The following is a 17,144-nucleotide window of genomic DNA, read 5'->3' on the forward strand; positions in this document are numbered from 1 at the left end:
ATTTCTCTCTGTTTTCACTCAGGTGTTAGAAGGAAAACCCATCTACGTTGATTGTTTCGGCAACTTGGTACCATTAACTAAAAGTGGCCAGCATCATATATTCAGTTTTTTTGCCTTCAAAGAAAATAGACTTCCTCTATTTGTCAAGGTAATATATACATGGAATTTTGTGATGCATTTTTTTCAAGATCAAGGCAGAATTTGACTTCCTTTAGTAATAGAAAATTTTCGCTTTTCAGTCATCTTCAGAGTTTTCTTTTTAACCATATTTGTAACGTTTTACAGCCCTGGGAAACAAATCATTTTTATTTTTGAGGTTCAAAGTCAACCTGAATTTTTATAGACTATATTTAAGGATGAGAACAGGACAAATAATAGCCAACTCATTAATTAGGCACAGTGACCGGTATTTTCCAAATTTGAAGGAAAGCTTATTTATCTATTATAACTTTTAAATATTTATGCTTAGATTTAAAAATACACGTGAACTTCACAAGTGTGGAGATCAAAAGAGTTCTAAGTGGCAACTTTTTGTAATAAAATCTCTCAAAAGACCCAGCATCTCACTTAAGCTAGTAAATTATCTGCAATAGAGCTATAGACTTGATATATTTTCATAAATTCATTCAATAAACAGCATGGAGACATTTGTGTGCACCAGGTGTTTGTTGTCTCTAAACAGAGACCAAGTTAGGGATTTGAGGTGATATATGCAAGTTTCATTTTAGATTCCAATCTAAAAGGGACCACATATGAAGGAATAAGAGATTCAGGAAATAAAAAGGAGGTAATAATTCTACTCTGCATTATTTTCCAAGCTCATTTTTCTTCTTGTTTCTCACAATTTATTTCACTAATCCAGAGGTCCTAACGCTCAATCCTCTTAGGTATAGGCTGGCTTCTGTCGTTTTTTTTCCAATCCTACTTCACCTACTCATTTCCAACTGTTCATCAGCAATGACTCTTTTTATTTTAACCACTTATTATTTTTCCAAACATGTGTCTGCAAACCTCTTATTAAGTTTTTCCAAGATCTCTGCTGAGTCTCTTTCATTGTGCCATTTCTGGTTCAATTGTTTTGCCTGACTGATGATAGATTCTTACAGATCACCACATTAAGCAGTAACTGCTCAGAGGTAATGGATCCATTTAACATAGACAGCTATATAATTAAGCTAATGTTTGACATCATTGGTGTGCAGAATCATTCTACAAACAACCCAATACAAAATGAGGGAAGTGCTTCAGTAGACATTTCTCCAAAGAAGATACACAGATGGTCAATAAGCATATGAAGAGATGTTCAACAGCGTAGGGAAATGCAAATCAAAACTGTGAAGAGATACCACTCCATACCCATTAGGATGGCTATTATTACAACAAACAAACAGAAAATAAACAAATGTTGGGAAGGATGTGGACGAATTGGGGCCCTAATGCATTGCTGGTGGAAATGCAAAATAGTGCAGCGACTTTGGAAAACACTATGGTTTTTCCTCAAAAAGTTAAACATAAAATTAGTATATGATTCAGCAATTTACTTCTCGATGTACACCCACAAGAATTTAAAGTAGAGACTCAATTACTTGCACACCAATGTTCTTAGCAGCATTAGCCATGGTAGCCAAAATGGAAACAACCCAAAAGTCCAAAGGTCCACAAACAAAATGCGGTATACACATGCAATGGAATACTATTCAGCCTTTAAAAGGAAGGAAATTCTAGTTTATGCTGCAATATGGTAAATGAAATAAGCTAGACACAAAAGGACAAATATTGTATGGTTTCACTTATATGAGGTACCTAGGGTAGTCAAATTCATAAAGAGAGAAAGCATTTGTTTTTATTTATTTTTTTGACCTCTCCTCGAAGTGAAATAAAGATAGAAAGTAGAAGAGTGGTTGCTAGGGACAGGAGAAGTGAAGAATGGGGAATTATTGTTTAATAGATACAGAATTTCAGTTAGGAAGATTAACAAGTTCTAAAGATGGAAGGTAGTGATGATTATACAACAATGTGAATGTACTTAATGCCACCAAACTAGACACCTTTTTAGGTTTAATCATTTTTATGATTAAAATGATACGTTTTATGTTACATATATTTATCACAATTTTTTAAAAAAGGAATGAAATTCTGACACATGATGCAATATGAATGAACTTGGAAAACATTACGCTGAGTAAAATAAGCCAGACACAAATACTATATGGTTCCTCCATTTCTACATGTTCCTAGAATAGGCAAACGTATAGAGACAGAAAGTAGAATAGAGGTTATTAGGGGCTGGGCAAGAGGGCAATGGGGAGCTATTGTTCAATGGGGACAGTTTCGGCATAGGATGAAAAACATTCTGGATAGAAGTAATGATTATACAACTTTGTGAATGTGCTTAATGCCACTGAATTTTCTACCTCAAAATAGTAAAAATGGTAAACTGTATGTTATGTATATTTTACCATAATTATTTTAAAAGCTGAGTAAGTTCTGAAGATCTAATATACAGCATTAAACTATAGTTAATTGTATGTAATGTATTATATACTTGAAATTTGCTAAGAGATCTCAAGTGTTCTCACCACAAAAAAGGGGGATGAGGTGATTGATATGTTAATTAATTTGATACGCTAATCATTTCACAATGTATACATATATCAAATCATCACATTGTACACCTTAAATATATGCAATTTTTGTCTACCATACTTAAATAAGACTAAAAAAGAAAGCTGAATGATTTTTAAAAAGGCTTTCCAAATGGTAATAGGAAAAGAGAAAGGAAATCCTTTGAGTTCTTACCTAGCAGTAACAAATGAATTTTACTTTTCCCTTTCAAGCATCATCTAGTTAAAGTAAATACTGCAAATCAAATGTGGGTGAAGCATGTATGTCTTTCTTGTTCAAGGTACGCGATACGACTCAGGAACCTTGCGGACGACTATCATTTATGAAGGAGCCAAAATCCACGAGAGGCCTGGTGCATCAAGCTATTTGCAACTTAAACATCACTTTGCCGATTTATACAAAGGTATCGTAAAATCTGCTATAGTGCAATTCAGGTAGAGTAGGAATTGATTTTTAAATCTTGTTTTAGGTCAGTGCAAAAGTAATGGCAAAAACAGCAATTGCTTTTGCACTGACCTAATAAAATGAATACCAACAAAGACTGATTGAAAGCATGTGTAATAATCACGTTTGATTCTCTGTCAGATTTACGATTTCCACTTAAGAAAAAACGTAGTGCCACCTGATTTCATGTTAAATGCACTTTGATGCAAAAATTCTATTAATACACATTGGGCATGGAAGTAAGAAAATTTGGCTTCAGATTTAACTTTTTGAAGAAATTTTTAAAACTAATTGGCTTTTCTTCATTATTGTTTTCATGTGCTTTCCTGCGACCATACTCGTGCATTTGGCCCTATGAAAATATTAGAGTTCATCACCTTCTGTTTACTACCAATTCACAGGTGGCTTACATATTATTAAATTCAGAACTGCCCCGTGATATTTTATTTTTTCTAAGTAATTAACTATTAATCTTCGAACTTATCATATTTTAGGAGCATATAAACTGGTGTGATGGTGCACACCTGTAGTCCCAGCTACTCTGGAGGCTGGGGTGAGAGGATCACTTGAGCCCAGGACTTCAAGGGCAGCTTAGGCAACATAACTTGTGTAAATTGTTGGTTAAAATAAAAAATAGTTGAAATAGTTGATTAGTAAAAAACATATCGCCATGTTTTGAGTAGATTTAAAACATTGTTGAAAAGGAGAAATACATTAATTTCTGACCCCAAGTCTACCTACAGGAATTACTTTCTTTTGAAATCTCTCCCCCTCACGTAATTCCTCGAATACTCTGATGAAATCAAAGAAGACAACTAAATCAATTAAATGTTGTGGATAATTTATGTTTCATTCTTTTAAATTTTTTTAACCAATATTTCTTTTGAATAGGAAGCTCTCACATGGCAATCTATAGGTGGATGCAGAAGTTGTCAGTGTCTATATAACAGGTTGGGAAGGGTGATGAGTGGTGACTGCTGAGACCTGGAGGGGAAGTAGGAATATATTTAAAATCCTAAATCTTGACATCACAAAACAAAAAAGTCCTATACTTCTTTTTCCCCACCACAGTTGTTAAATTTTATATTTGCTTAATGAATTATTCTTGTAAATAGAGATCAGCCATCTAGAGAAAAGCTCATAGCATTAGGTTTGACATTGTAAATTTTTATTAAATGAATAAAATAAAATATTATTTGTATATTTAAATATACATGTTATTCCAAGAATTAAAATATAGAAATGGGTATATCAACCCAAATGAGCATAATTTCATTGTATTTTGATGGTGCAGAATGTATTTTGGGGTTTGTATTGCTGATTAGTAGTGAGTCAGTGGAGGCAGTATGCCAATAAGAACGACAAAGAAATATGTACTGCTGCGGGCAAGCCACCTGAGTGTTAAAGAAAGATGACTGAGCTTTGGCTGATTTCAGTGAGCTTTCAGTGTGCTCTAAGAGAAAGCATTAACTTCATTATTACATTTTATTTCTAAGTCAAGACATATCAGACACAGCTATTAATGCTGTGATAGTCCAGTACAATTTTCTAATTTGTAACTCAAAAAGAAAAAAATCCCAGACATTGTACATTGAAAATATACCTTAGTATTTAGTAGCTCTTGGCTGGGCACCATGGCCCACACCTGTAATCCCAGCACTTTGGGAGACCAAGGCAGGAGGATTGCTTGAGTCTAGTAGTTCAAGACCAGCCTGAGCAACATAGCAAGACCTTGTCTCTATTAAAAAAAAAAAAAAAGAAAGAATTTAGTAGCTCTTTGTTAGAATAATGCTTCTAAATATTGCCTGTGTATTGAAAATTTTCCACCATATGCTTATTTGTAGCTTTTAGTATTTTCAACCAATATCTGTAATGATTGGGATATTATCATCACTATTTCTAAAGACAAATGCCATCCAGTTCATTTAAGGTCAAACTTTGAGACTGCCGTGGTGACCTAGTATCTGGAATTAGTATATTTATAATGTTGGTTCTTTTGTCTCTTGAATCTATAAACTTTGTACTTAAGCCAATCTTCTTTTCTGCCTGTCTTCTATAAACTGTTAGTAATAAAAAAAGAGTATGTTGACTGTATGCTTGCCTGTTGATGCTTGTTGAAAGGGTATTTATTTACTCTTTCCTTTTCTTCTAAATACTCTCTACTCTTCCTTCTCTCTTTTTTCCATCTTGCATGGCATCTTGGGGCGGAAAGGAATCAGAGTCAGATCAAGAACAGGAGGAAGAGGTAATTTTATGACAGTGTCACTTGTTATCGGCTGTGTCATTGCTGTAACCACTAATAAGAGCACATAGTTAACCTGTGTTCTTAGACGGGGTAGGCGGTTCTTCTTAGTAATTAAAGGGGCACAATTTTACTTAACCTCTCTAAGCCTCTGTTTTCTCATCTTGTGGAGCAACTTAAGGGAATAGTAAAGTTTCCCTGTAAATTGTTGCCATGTCGCTATGCAATACTATATTTTTCCACCAACTGCTAAGAGCTAAACCATTATCTCAGGGGTTCTTAGTCAGAAGACATCTAGTGGTTGAAACTCTTTTTGTACTAAGACATTATTAATGTCTTAATTTTTAATTAAATGTCTTAGTACATTAAAAATGTACTAAGACATTATTTGCCTTTTAAACTTCTATATCCTCACAAACTATAAAGGAGTCTCCCAGAGGCTATACTACATGTGATGATATTGCCACTCTGGCAATTAATGGAATGTATGCTTGCATACTCTTAGGTTCTAGCATTTTCTCAGCCTTCATTTGTAATATGGATATCTATTTATACATATCACACACCATCGGAAGTTTTTCAGGCTCCTCAGTAATTTTTGGGAGTGTAAAGGGGCCCTAAGACCAAAGAGTTTGATAAACACTGAGACCAAAAAACTTTAAGAAGCATATAGCTGATTCCTTAGACTATATCATAATGCAGAACTATGCTAATAATAATAATTTCTTATAAAGTGGGATCTTTACTAAGTGTTGCACACGCCTCATCAATGTCGATCTCTCACAAACACCTATGAGGTGTTTGTTATTAAATACTACATTATTGATGAAGAAAGCAAGTCTTAGAGAGGTTACCTTGAATAAATAGCTGTATGAATTAAACCTGCTTCAATATTTAAAGCAAATGTGTGTTTGTCTCCGTTATAAAGATCTGAAAATGCCCAAATATTATAATAGAAATGAAAAACATAATTGGAAAACTTAAAATAATATGTTTCTAAGATAGACAGATGCATATGTTATTAGTTATATGTAAATGTTTTCAAATATACTAGTTTTCTTTTTTTAAATGTTATTCCAATGCATTCAAAATAAAAAATATAATAAATACCCTTATACCCACCAGCTTAAAATGTAAGCCCTTATCAGTTCAGAAGATGCCCCGGATTCGTTTTTTTTCTGATACCTTGCAATGGAGCAGGGTGAGAGAGGTGACTATAGAAGCACTGTCCTGCCGCACATAGCCATATACACAATCAACTTAAGACTGAAGTCATTCTTTCCCTCAACTGCACAGTCACTCTTTGCTTCACATACTCCATTTCCTTCCTGTACTCAGTGACCCTACCACTACAGCTGTTAAAAATGATAGGGAAGCCAATTTTGCCATGTTCACAAATCACTTTTTTCTCTTAGATAATTTTCCTACTGAATACTTTCTGGAACTATTTAGGGCAATAGATCCAGTTCATATTCTTTTCAGGATCTGGAATGCTGGCTTATTATTAACGATAATGAAACTACTTCTGTAGAACACATCACCCTAGTGTTGCTGTTTGTCATCCTTTCCTTTTTCTCCACTAAATGGATACTTATTATTCAATACTGACTTCACCCTTTTTCTGATGTATTCCCTAAATATGTATTCCAACATCAAAACCAGCCTGGGTCATATCTTCCCAGGATTAACATGCTAGAAAGGACTTTCTACCTGTAGTGTCTAGAAAACAGAAGGTTTTTTTCAAAGTCAGGATAAGAATCATGGAGACTCTCAGGAAAAAATGTAGCAAATTACTCTGACCTTCCTATAGCTATGGTGTCACCCAACATGTATAATTATGAATAGGAGCTTTTTGTGCACACCAGGGGCTATGAGCCAAGGCAGTATTTGTAACCATTCAATTTATGTATGTTTTCTTTCAGATCGATATGACATCAGAAAAAAGTAAGAATTTAAAGAAAATTGAGTTTGTTTGAAAGCTGGCTACCATAAAAAGAAGCATGAATTAAAATGCAAGCTAGTTGCTATTACTAACCACTATAGTAATTACATTTTTATATTATCCTTATTAATCATTAATATATTTATAAAAGCAGCTTGGCCAGTTAAATTACAAATATACCTAATTTGCGAGCTAATTAGCAGTAAAATGCAATGATTATTCATCTAAGCATTCACTTTCTTTTGACATTCTTGTTAACCCTGGTATTGCTGTTATGCTTGTTTAGAAACCCACCCTACCGTTTTGTCCATTTGTTAGCAAAACACTGTCATCTCATCATTTTTTAAGCACTGACATGACAGTATCACTTTTTATGTAATGCAATAGTGACTTCTGTAGAGAGCTCATTATTTTTGTAGGATACACCTGCAAAAGTGATACTGTCTAATAGTTCTTAGCTGAAGCTAACCCCATCCAATGCCTGCCCCCTCCCCCATCACTCTTTTGCACTTTTTACTGTGGTGAAGTGTAACCAATGTCTTTAGAGCTGAGGTCTAACAGACTTCTGTGAAAACTTTCTGAAAAAAAACCACAAAACAAAAATAAACAAAAGTGAAGAGCCAAGAATGCAAAATTAAAACCCCCTGGATAAAATTACTAATCACAACAGCATGTTATTATAGGGTTAATTTTAAATAATGATGCAAATCCCAAACCTGATCTAGTAGAGAGAGAACTGGTTTTGACAGACCTTAAAAGAGCTATCTTAGAACTCATTTCAGGTTTGTAATATCCAATTAAGATTTTAGTTTGTTGGACTATTTCTAGTGACTCTCTGGCTTCTTGTGTGGAAACTCCAGTTGAATTTTACAGATTTCTGCTTTTGTGCCCCAAATGCTTTTTAAAAATCTGATTTTTAAAGTTTATTGAATATCAATAAACTTTATTTCAGAGTTTATTTTGATTTGCTGTATTTCACAGTATATTCCCAAAATGAGAAAACTTAGAACCATGTTTAATATGCTCATGTGGCCCTACACAATGATCTGAGGGCTTTTTTAAAGTCCTAGGACAATGTAATTTACTACTAAGTTATGGAAGTTGCTTTGAATGAGGCTTACCCTCATGTTAAAGCATTATTCAGATCTAGAATGTTTGAGATTCTGGATGTTTTCATTGGTTTATATAATTGAACAAATTTGTATTGGTATAAATTATTTTAATAAATTTATATGTGTAAATTCACATACTGTATCTTCTCAACAAATACAGATTCTCCCAAGAGAAGGCACTTTTGTTTATATGACATATCACATTGCCCTCACTGATTCCTTTTTTTAAGTGATTTTACTTTATTCTCCCACTTTCTTCTTCAGAACTACTCCATTTATTTAAATGGCCTCTTACTTTGCTCTCCTGATACAAACTAGTAAGAATTAAAAATTAATTCATCCATATGGCTCAGTTGTTAAAAAAAAAAGAAAAAAAAATGTTACCATGTTGCTATGATGCCATGGATTTTCCTGAAGGATTTCTAGGTGTTTTGAGTGTTTCAGAAGTTTTAAATACAGACTCAAGTTTGCTTTTGATTTAAAGATAATCATTAAATAATCTTCATCTAGGTATAAACTAATCTCTAAAGAAGTGCTCTGTGGAAGGGACTCTTACCTGAAGTCTTTTTATCAGTACATTTTAGAAGAGTTTACTGAGTTTTCTTCCTTAACCTTAATGGGTGTAAGCCCCCACAACCTAAGCCTCAATATACCACCTTCAGCAGCTTATGCATGGACTCATAGGGAAATAAGTACACTTCGCCACAGTAATGTTTTACATATCTGTTCTAAATTCCCGCCATCCTCCTGCCCATACGTTTCAGCAAGGCCGCCTCTCCCAGCCGTTTTACTCCACCTTTGCTTTGCATGGAAATAACTTGGCTTACATAAACTGTGTGTGTGTCCCGTGTGACTGTCTCTGACTTGGGTTGCCATGCATCACATTTTAACTTTGGACTCACTTATAAGTTTAATCACAATTGTTGTTTCTGTTGTTTTTCTTTCCTTTCCTTTATTTCCCTCCTTGGTCTGTCCATTCTGTGTCTAAACAAGGAGGTTGCTCCAAGGAAAGGACCATGCCTCGTAGCACCAGACTGTTTGTTTCATTGTTAGGTGTGAATTTCCCTTAGATGAAATGCCGGTTTGCAGCTGATTCAGATGTATTTTATATAGTCTTTGTATATTGGTAGAACTAAACATACTGAATTTCAGACTTTTATATGATTAAAAATGTATATACATCATTAGATGTTATTCTGAGCTTGCTACTACTGGCTTTCTCCTAGAGGAAATCAACTTTCTGCAATTTCTAATGCTTTTTTTCTTATTTTTTCCTCATGGTTGGTTTTCTTTTTTTTTTCAACATTGATCTGTAACATCTGAACAATCTTGAGATACCTCTGTGTAATTTCACTGCGTTCTTTGTTTTGATATGTAGTGTTTTTTTGTGTGTGTATGTGCGTCTTGTTTTAGCTTTGTTGTATGTGTGGATGTGCTACAAGTGAGAAAAATTAAGCAAGTTATTTCCTGCTCATTTTTCCTTTTCAGTTGTTTTTTTTTTCGTTAGCCTTGCTTTGCTCTTGTACCCTGAGGCCTTGTGGATCTACCATTCCCAGCCCATTTTGTTGCCCCTCCCACCACCACCACCACAGGAAAAGACGCTGTGTCGTTTCAGTCCTGATTACATTTGCCAATATCTTTTTTGATTTCCATTTTACTTTCAATGTTTTTCATTCACATCAAAGATGATGAGACAGAATCTACAGAAACATCTGTCCTGAAAAGTCACCTGGTTAATGAAGTTCCTGTCCTAGCAAGTCCGGACTTGCTCTCTGAAGTTTCTGAGATGAAACAAGATTTGATCAAAATGACCGCCATCTTGACCACAGATGTGTCTGATAAGGCAGGTTCTATTAAAGTGAAGGAGCTGGTGAAGGCTGCTGAGGAAGAGCCAGGAGAGCCTTTTGAAATCGTTGAAAGAGTTAAAGAGGACTTAGAGAAAGTGAATGAAATCCTGAGAAGTGGAACCTGCACAAGAGATGAAAGCAGTGTGCAGAGCTCTCGGTCTGAGAGAGGATTAGTTGAAGAGGAATGGGTTATTGTCAGTGATGAGGAAATAGAAGAGGCTAGGCAAAAAGCACCTTTAGAAATCACTGAATATCCATGTGTAGAAGTTAGAATAGATAAAGAGATCAAAGGAAAAGTAGAGAAAGACTCAACTGGGCTAGTGAACTACCTTACTGATGATCTGAATACCTGTGTGCCTCTTCCCAAAGAGCAGCTGCAGACAGTTCAAGATAAGGCAGGGAAGAAATGTGAGGCTCTGGCTGTTGGCAGGAGCTCTGAAAAGGAAGGGAAAGACATACCCCCAGATGAGACACAGAGTACACAGAAACAGCACAAACCAAGCTTGGGAATAAAGAAGCCAGTAAGAAGGAAATTAAAAGAAAAGCAGAAACAAAAAGAGGAAGGTTTACAAGCTAGTGCAGAGAAAGCTGAACTTAAAAAAGGTAGTTCAGAAGAGTCATTAGGTGAAGACCCAGGTTTAGCCCCTGAACCCCTTCCCACTGTCAAGGCCACATCTCCTTTGATAGAAGAAACTCCCATTGGTTCCATAAAGGACAAAGTAAAGGCCCTTCAGAAGCGAGTGGAAGATGAACAGAAAGGTCGAAGCAAGTTGCCCATCAGAGTCAAAGGCAAGGAGGACGTGCCAAAAAAGACCACCCACAGGCCACATCCAGCTGCGTCACCCTCTCTGAAGTCAGAGAGACATGCGCCAGGGTCTCCCTCCCCTAAAACAGAAAGACACTCTACTCTTTCCTCTTCCGCAAAAACTGAAAGGCACCCTCCAGTATCACCATCAAGTAAAACTGAGAAACACTCACCTGTGTCACCCTCTGCAAAAACGGAAAGACATTCACCTGCGTCATCATCGAGTAAAACTGAGAAACACTCACCTGTATCACCCTCGACAAAAACTGAAAGGCACTCTCCTGTGTCATCTACAAAAACAGAAAGACACCCACCTGTTTCGCCTTCAGGCAAAACAGACAAACGTCCACCTGTATCGCCCTCCGGGAGGACAGAAAAACACCCGCCAGTATCGCCTGGGAGAACAGAAAAACGCTTGCCTGTTTCACCCTCCGGAAGAACGGACAAGCACCAACCTGTATCAACAGCTGGGAAAACTGAGAAGCACCTGCCTGTGTCACCTTCTGGCAAAACAGAAAAGCAACCACCTGTATCCCCCACTTCAAAAACAGAGAGGATTGAGGAAACCATGTCTGTTCGGGAGCTGATGAAGGCTTTCCAGTCAGGTCAGGACCCTTCTAAACATAAAACTGGACTCTTTGAGCACAAATCAGCAAAACAAAAGCAGCCACAAGAGAAAGGTAAAGTTCGGGTAGAAAAAGAAAAGGGGCCGATACTAACCCAGAGAGAAGCTCAGAAAACAGAGAATCAGACAATCAAACGAGGCCAGAGACTCCCGGTAACGGGCACAGCAGAATCCAAAAGAGGAGTTCGTGTTTCCTCCATAGGAGTTAAGAAAGAAGATGCAGCTGGAGGAAAGGAGAAAGTTCTCAGCCACAAAATACCTGAACCTGTTCAGTCAGTGCCTGAAGAAGAAAGCCACAGAGAGAGCGAAGTGCCCAAAGAAAAGATGGCTGATGAGCAGGGAGACATGGATCTACAGATCAGCCCAGATAGGAAAACCTCCACTGACTTCTCTGAGGTCATTAAGCAAGAGTTGGAAGACAATGACAAATACCAACAATTCCGCCTGAGTGAGGAGACAGAAAAGGCACAGCTTCACTTAGACCAAGTACTCACTAGTCCTTTCAACACAACATTTCCACTCGACTACATGAAAGATGAGTTCCTTCCAGCTCTGTCTTTACAAAGCGGTGCTTTAGATGGCAGTTCTGAAAGCCTAAAGAATGAGGGGGTAGCCGGCTCTCCGTGTGGCAGCCTGATGGAGGGGACCCCTCAGATTAGTTCAGAAGAAAGCTATAAGCATGAAGGCCTAGCAGAGACCCCTGAGACGAGCCCAGAAAGCCTTTCTTTCTCACCAAAGAAAAGTGAGGAGCAAACTGGGGAAACAAAGGAAAGCACCAAGACAGAAACCACCACAGAAATTCGTTCAGAAAAAGAGCATCCCACGACCAAAGACATTACTGGTGGCTCTGAAGAGCGAGGTGCCACAGTCACTGAGGACTCAGAGACCTCTACTGAGAGTTTTCAGAAAGAGGCCACTCTAGGCTCTCCCAAAGACACAAGCCCTAAAAGACAAGATGATTGCACAGGCAGCTGTAGTGTAGCATTAGCTAAAGAGACACCTACAGGACTGACTGAGGAGGCAGCCTGTGATGAAGGTCAACGTACCTTTGGTAGTTCAGCCCACAAGACACAAACTGATAGTGAGGTTCAAGAATCCACAGCCACCTCAGACGAGACAAAGGCCTTGCCGCTGCCTGAGGCTTCTGTAAAGACAGATACAGGAACTGAATCAAAACCTCAGGGAGTCATTAGAAGTCCCCAAGGGTTAGAACTTGCACTCCCTAGCCGAGATAGCGAAGTCCTCAGCGCTGTGGCTGATGACTCATTAGCAGTGAGCCACAAAGACTCTCTGGAAGCCAGCCCTGTGCTAGAAGATAACTCTTCACACAAAACCCCTGATTCTCTGGAGCCAAGTCCTCTGAAAGAATCCCCTTGCCGTGACTCTCTGGAAAGCAGCCCTGTTGAACCAAAGATGAAGGCTGGAATTTTTCCAAGTCACTTTCCTCTTCCTGCAGCTGTTGCCAAAACAGAACTCTTGACGGAAGTGGCCTCTGTGCGGTCCCGGCTACTCCGAGACCCTGATGGCAGTGCTGAGGATGACAGTCTTGAGCAGACATCGCTCATGGAGAGCTCAGGGAAGAGCCCCCTTTCTCCTGACACCCCCAGCTCTGAAGAAGTCAGCTATGAGGTTACACCCAAAACCACAGATGTAAGTACACCAAAACCAGCTGTGATTCATGAATGTGCAGAGGAGGATGATTCAGAAAACGGGGAGAAAAAGAGGTTCACACCTGAAGAGGAGATGTTTAAAATGGTAACCAAAATCAAAATGTTTGATGAACTTGAACAAGAAGCAAAGCAGAAAAGGGACTACAAAAAAGAACCCAAACAAGAAGAATCTTCTTCATCTTCTGACCCAGATGCTGACTGTTCAGTAGATGTGGATGAACCAAAACATACAGGCAGTGGGGAGGATGAAAGTGGTGTCCCTGTGTTAGTAACTTCGGAGAGCAGGAAGGTGTCTTCCTCCTCAGAAAGTGAACCTGAGTTGGCACAGCTTAAAAAAGGTGCTGACTCAGGCCTTTTACCAGAACCAGTGATTCGAGTACAACCTCCTTCTCCACTTCCATCAAGCATGGACTCCAATTCCAGTCCAGAAGAAGTACAATTCCAGCCTGTCGTTTCCAAACAATATACTTTCAAGATGAATGAAGATACTCAGGAAGAGCCAGGCAAATCAGAAGAAGAAAAAGATTCTGAATCCCATTTAGCTGAAGACCGTCATGCTGTTTCCACTGAGGCTGAAGACAGGTCTTATGATAAGCTAAACAGAGACACTGATCAGCCAAAAATCTGTGATGGCCATGGATGTGAGGCCATGAGTCCTAGCAGCTCAGCTGCTCCTGTCTCTTCAGGTCTACAGAGTCCGACTGGTGATGATGTTGATGAACAGCCAGTCATCTATAAAGAATCATTAGCTCTCCAAGGCACTCATGAAAAAGACACAGAGGGAGAAGAGCTTGATGTTTCTAGAGCAGAATCTCCACAAGCAGATTGCCCCAGTGAAAGCTTTTCATCTTCATCCTCTTTGCCTCATTGTTTGGTATCTGAAGGAAAAGAATTAGATGAAGACATATCTGCCACATCTTCTATTCAAAAAACAGAGGTCACAAAAACTGATGAAACATTTGAGAACTTACCAAAGGACTGCCCCTCTCAAGACTCATCCATTACTACTCAAACAGATAGATTTTCCATGGATGTTCCCGTGTCTGACCTAGCTGAGAATGATGAAATCTATGATCCACAAATCACTAGCCCTTATGAAAATGTCCCTTCCCAATCTTTTTTCTCTAGTGAAGAAAGCAAAACCCAAACAGATGCAAATCACACCACAAGTTTTCACTCTTCTGAAGTGTATTCTGTTACCATCACATCCCCTGTTGAAGACGTTGTAGTGGCAAGCTCCTCTAGTGGAACTGTTTTAAGCAAAGAATCTAATTTTGAGGGCCAGGACATAAAAATGGAATCCCAACAGGAAAGTACCTTGTGGGAAATGCAATCAGACAGTGTCTCTTCATCTTTCGAGCCTACTATGTCCGCTACAACAACAGTTGTTGGTGAACAAATAAGCAAAGTCATCATCACAAAAACTGATGTGGATTCTGATTCTTGGAGTGAAATTCGGGAAGACGATGAAGCCTTTGAGGCTCGTGTGAAAGAGGAAGAACAAAAGATATTTGGTTTGATGGTAGACAGACAATCACAGGGTACCACCCCTGACACCACTCCTGCTAGGACCCCAACTGAAGAGGGGACCCCAACAAGTGAGCAAAACCCATTTCTGTTTCAGGAAGGAAAATTGTTTGAAATGACCCGAAGTGGTGCCATTGATATGACCAAAAGGTCCTATGCAGATGAAAGTTTTCACTTTTTCCAAATTGGTCAAGAATCCAGGGAAGAGACTCTCTCTGAAGATGTGAAAGAAGGGGCTACTGGGGCTGATCCCCTACCGCTGGAGACATCAGCTGAATCACTAGCACTTTCAGAATCAAAAGAAACAGTGGATGATGAGGCAGACTTACTTCCAGATGACGTGAGTGAGGAAGTAGAGGAAATACCTGCTTCGGATGCTCAACTTAACTCCCAAATGGGGATTTCAGCCTCCACTGAAACACCTACAAAAGAAGCTGTTAGTGTAGGGACCAAGGACCTCCCCACCGTGCAAACGGGTGATATACCTCCTCTCTCTGGTGTAAAGCAGATATCCTGCCCCGACTCTTCTGAACCAGCTGTACAAGTCCAGTTAGATTTTTCCACACTCACCAGGTCTGTTTATTCAGATAGGGGTGATGATTCTCCCGATTCTTCCCCAGAAGAACAGAAATCAGTAATCGAGATTCCTACTGCACCCATGGAGAATGTGCCTTTTACTGAAAGCAAATCCAAAATTCCTGTAAGGACTATGCCCACTTCCACCCCAGCACCTCCATCTGCAGAGTATGAGAGTTCAGTTTCTGAAGATTTTCTATCCAGTGTAGATGAGGAAAATAAGGCGGATGAAGCAAAACCAAAGTCCAAACTCCCTGTCAAAGTACCCCTCCAAAGAGTTGAACAGCAGCTCTCAGATCTAGACACCTCTGTCCAGAAGACAGTGGCTCCTCAGGGACAGGACATGGCAAGCATCGCACCAGATAATAGAAGCAAATCTGAATCTGATGCTAGTTCTTTGGATTCAAAGACCAAATGCCCAGTAAAAACCCGAAGTTACACTGAGACAGAAACAGAGAGCAGAGAGAGGGCCGAGGAACTTGAGTTAGAATCAGAAGAAGGGGCCACAAGACCAAAGATACTTACATCCCGATTGCCAGTTAAGAGCAGAAGCACTACATCTTCCTGCAGGGGGGGCACGAGCCCCACAAAAGAAAGTAAGGAGCATTTCTTTGACCTTTACAGAAATTCCATAGAATTCTTTGAGGAGATTAGTGATGAGGCTTCCAAATTAGTGGATAGGCTGACACAGTCAGAGAGGGAGCAGGAAATAGTTTCAGACGATGAAAGTAGTAGTGCCCTGGAAGTATCAGTAATTGAAAATCTGCCACCTGTTGAGACCGAGCACTCAGTTCCTGAGGACATCTTTGACACAAGGCCCATTTGGGATGAGTCTATTGAGACTCTGATTGAACGCATCCCTGATGAAAATGGCCATGACCATGCTGAAGGTATTTGCCAGCCACCGGGATTCCCTGTGCTACGCATGTCATAAAATTGATATAGTTTTTTTGTATGTTTGTTTTATTTGATGATTTGTGTCTCATTTTCTTTAAGCTTTCTGTAGTGGCTAATGTGTTTGTGTAAGCCCTTTGTGTTTTGTGCTTTCTCTGTATACTCTTGTCTAAGAAAACAATCTCAAGATTGAGTAATGAGAATGCTTATGGAAAACATAAACATAATAACCGGGCAACAGTGATCTTGCCTTTTTTAGCCTCTGCACGTAATAAGGCCATGCGAGCTTTGAGTTTTGTTGTTCTGAAGTCCCAAGCTTAGACTCAAATTAAGCACTTTTGCACATAAATATATTGTATTTTGTTTCATAGTATGAAGACATTGCTTTTCTTCTTATCTTCGCATACTTTAAAATAATTTGTACTTACAATTTTGTAATCATTAGGAAGCCATTTGCTTGAGAAGATTTCACATAACATGAAATTCTAATTGTTGTGGATCTGTTTTTGATTCAGAAAGGTTGGATTTCAGATACCATTGGTAAATACTTTAAGCAAACAAACCTAAGGTAAAAATATGCTTTTCATTTATGTGGTAGATGAATGGAGAATGTACTCTCATTAGATGCAGCAGACAACAAAAACTCAAACTTTGCACAGTTTAAGTTGACTGTGAGGGGATGATGGCTCTTTGACTTATAAAAAAGGAAACCATAGATGGCTTTGAAAAGTAGCCTGTGTTCTTCCAATATCTCTACAATGAAGACTGTCATTCTTAAATTGAGGTTATACAAACTTTCCTATACCATGGTCTAAAATGCTGCCTATCAATCAGT

The 17,144-nt window shown here is 38.4% G+C and overlaps 1 protein-coding gene across 73 annotated transcripts in view, besides 3 other annotated features; it reads left to right on the plus strand.

The window, feature by feature from the left end:
* ANK2 (ankyrin 2) overlaps nt 1–17,144 on the plus strand; it is a 678,115-nt gene that overhangs the window by 637,373 nt on the left and 23,598 nt on the right. For 61 of the 73 annotated variants that reach the window (NM_001386186.2, NM_001386148.2, NM_001354269.3 and 58 more), the window contains 4 exons: nt 23–148; nt 2,906–3,028; nt 5,282–5,314; nt 7,234–7,255. In NM_001386186.2, coding sequence (NP_001373115.1) covers nt 23–148; nt 2,906–3,028; nt 5,282–5,314; nt 7,234–7,255 — 304 coding nt within the window. Of the gene's footprint in view, nt 1–22; nt 149–2,905; nt 3,029–5,281; nt 5,315–7,233; nt 7,256–10,050; nt 16,306–17,144 lie in introns of all 73 variants that reach the window. The other 12 variants (NM_001386147.1, NM_001386146.1, NM_001386150.1 and 9 more) reach the window with 3 other exon arrangements.
* Nucleotides 10,781–11,980: an enhancer, noted in NCBI's record as "MED14-independent group 3 enhancer chr4:114274931-114276130 (GRCh37/hg19 assembly coordinates)". NCBI's record gives its function as "activates an origin of replication core promoter dependent on BRD2, BRD4, P300/CBP and CDK7 cofactors, and independent of MED14, by STARR-seq in HCT116 cells {active_cell/tissue: HCT116}" and the evidence as "EXISTENCE:reporter gene assay evidence [ECO:0000049][PMID:35650434]".
* Nucleotides 12,410–13,609: an enhancer, noted in NCBI's record as "CDK7 strongly-dependent group 2 enhancer chr4:114276560-114277759 (GRCh37/hg19 assembly coordinates)". NCBI's record gives its function as "activates an origin of replication core promoter dependent on BRD2, BRD4, P300/CBP, MED14 and CDK7 cofactors, with strong dependence on CDK7, by STARR-seq in HCT116 cells {active_cell/tissue: HCT116}" and the evidence as "EXISTENCE:reporter gene assay evidence [ECO:0000049][PMID:35650434]".
* Nucleotides 12,957–13,176: an enhancer, noted in NCBI's record as "active region_21837". NCBI's record gives its function as "activates an Ori minimal core promoter by ATAC-STARR-seq in GM12878 lymphoblastoid cells {active_cell/tissue: GM12878}" and the evidence as "EXISTENCE:reporter gene assay evidence [ECO:0000049][PMID:35858748]".

This window comes from Homo sapiens, chromosome 4 (assembly GCF_000001405.40).
Source record: "Homo sapiens chromosome 4, GRCh38.p14 Primary Assembly".
Lineage (NCBI taxonomy): Eukaryota > Metazoa > Chordata > Mammalia > Primates > Hominidae > Homo > Homo sapiens.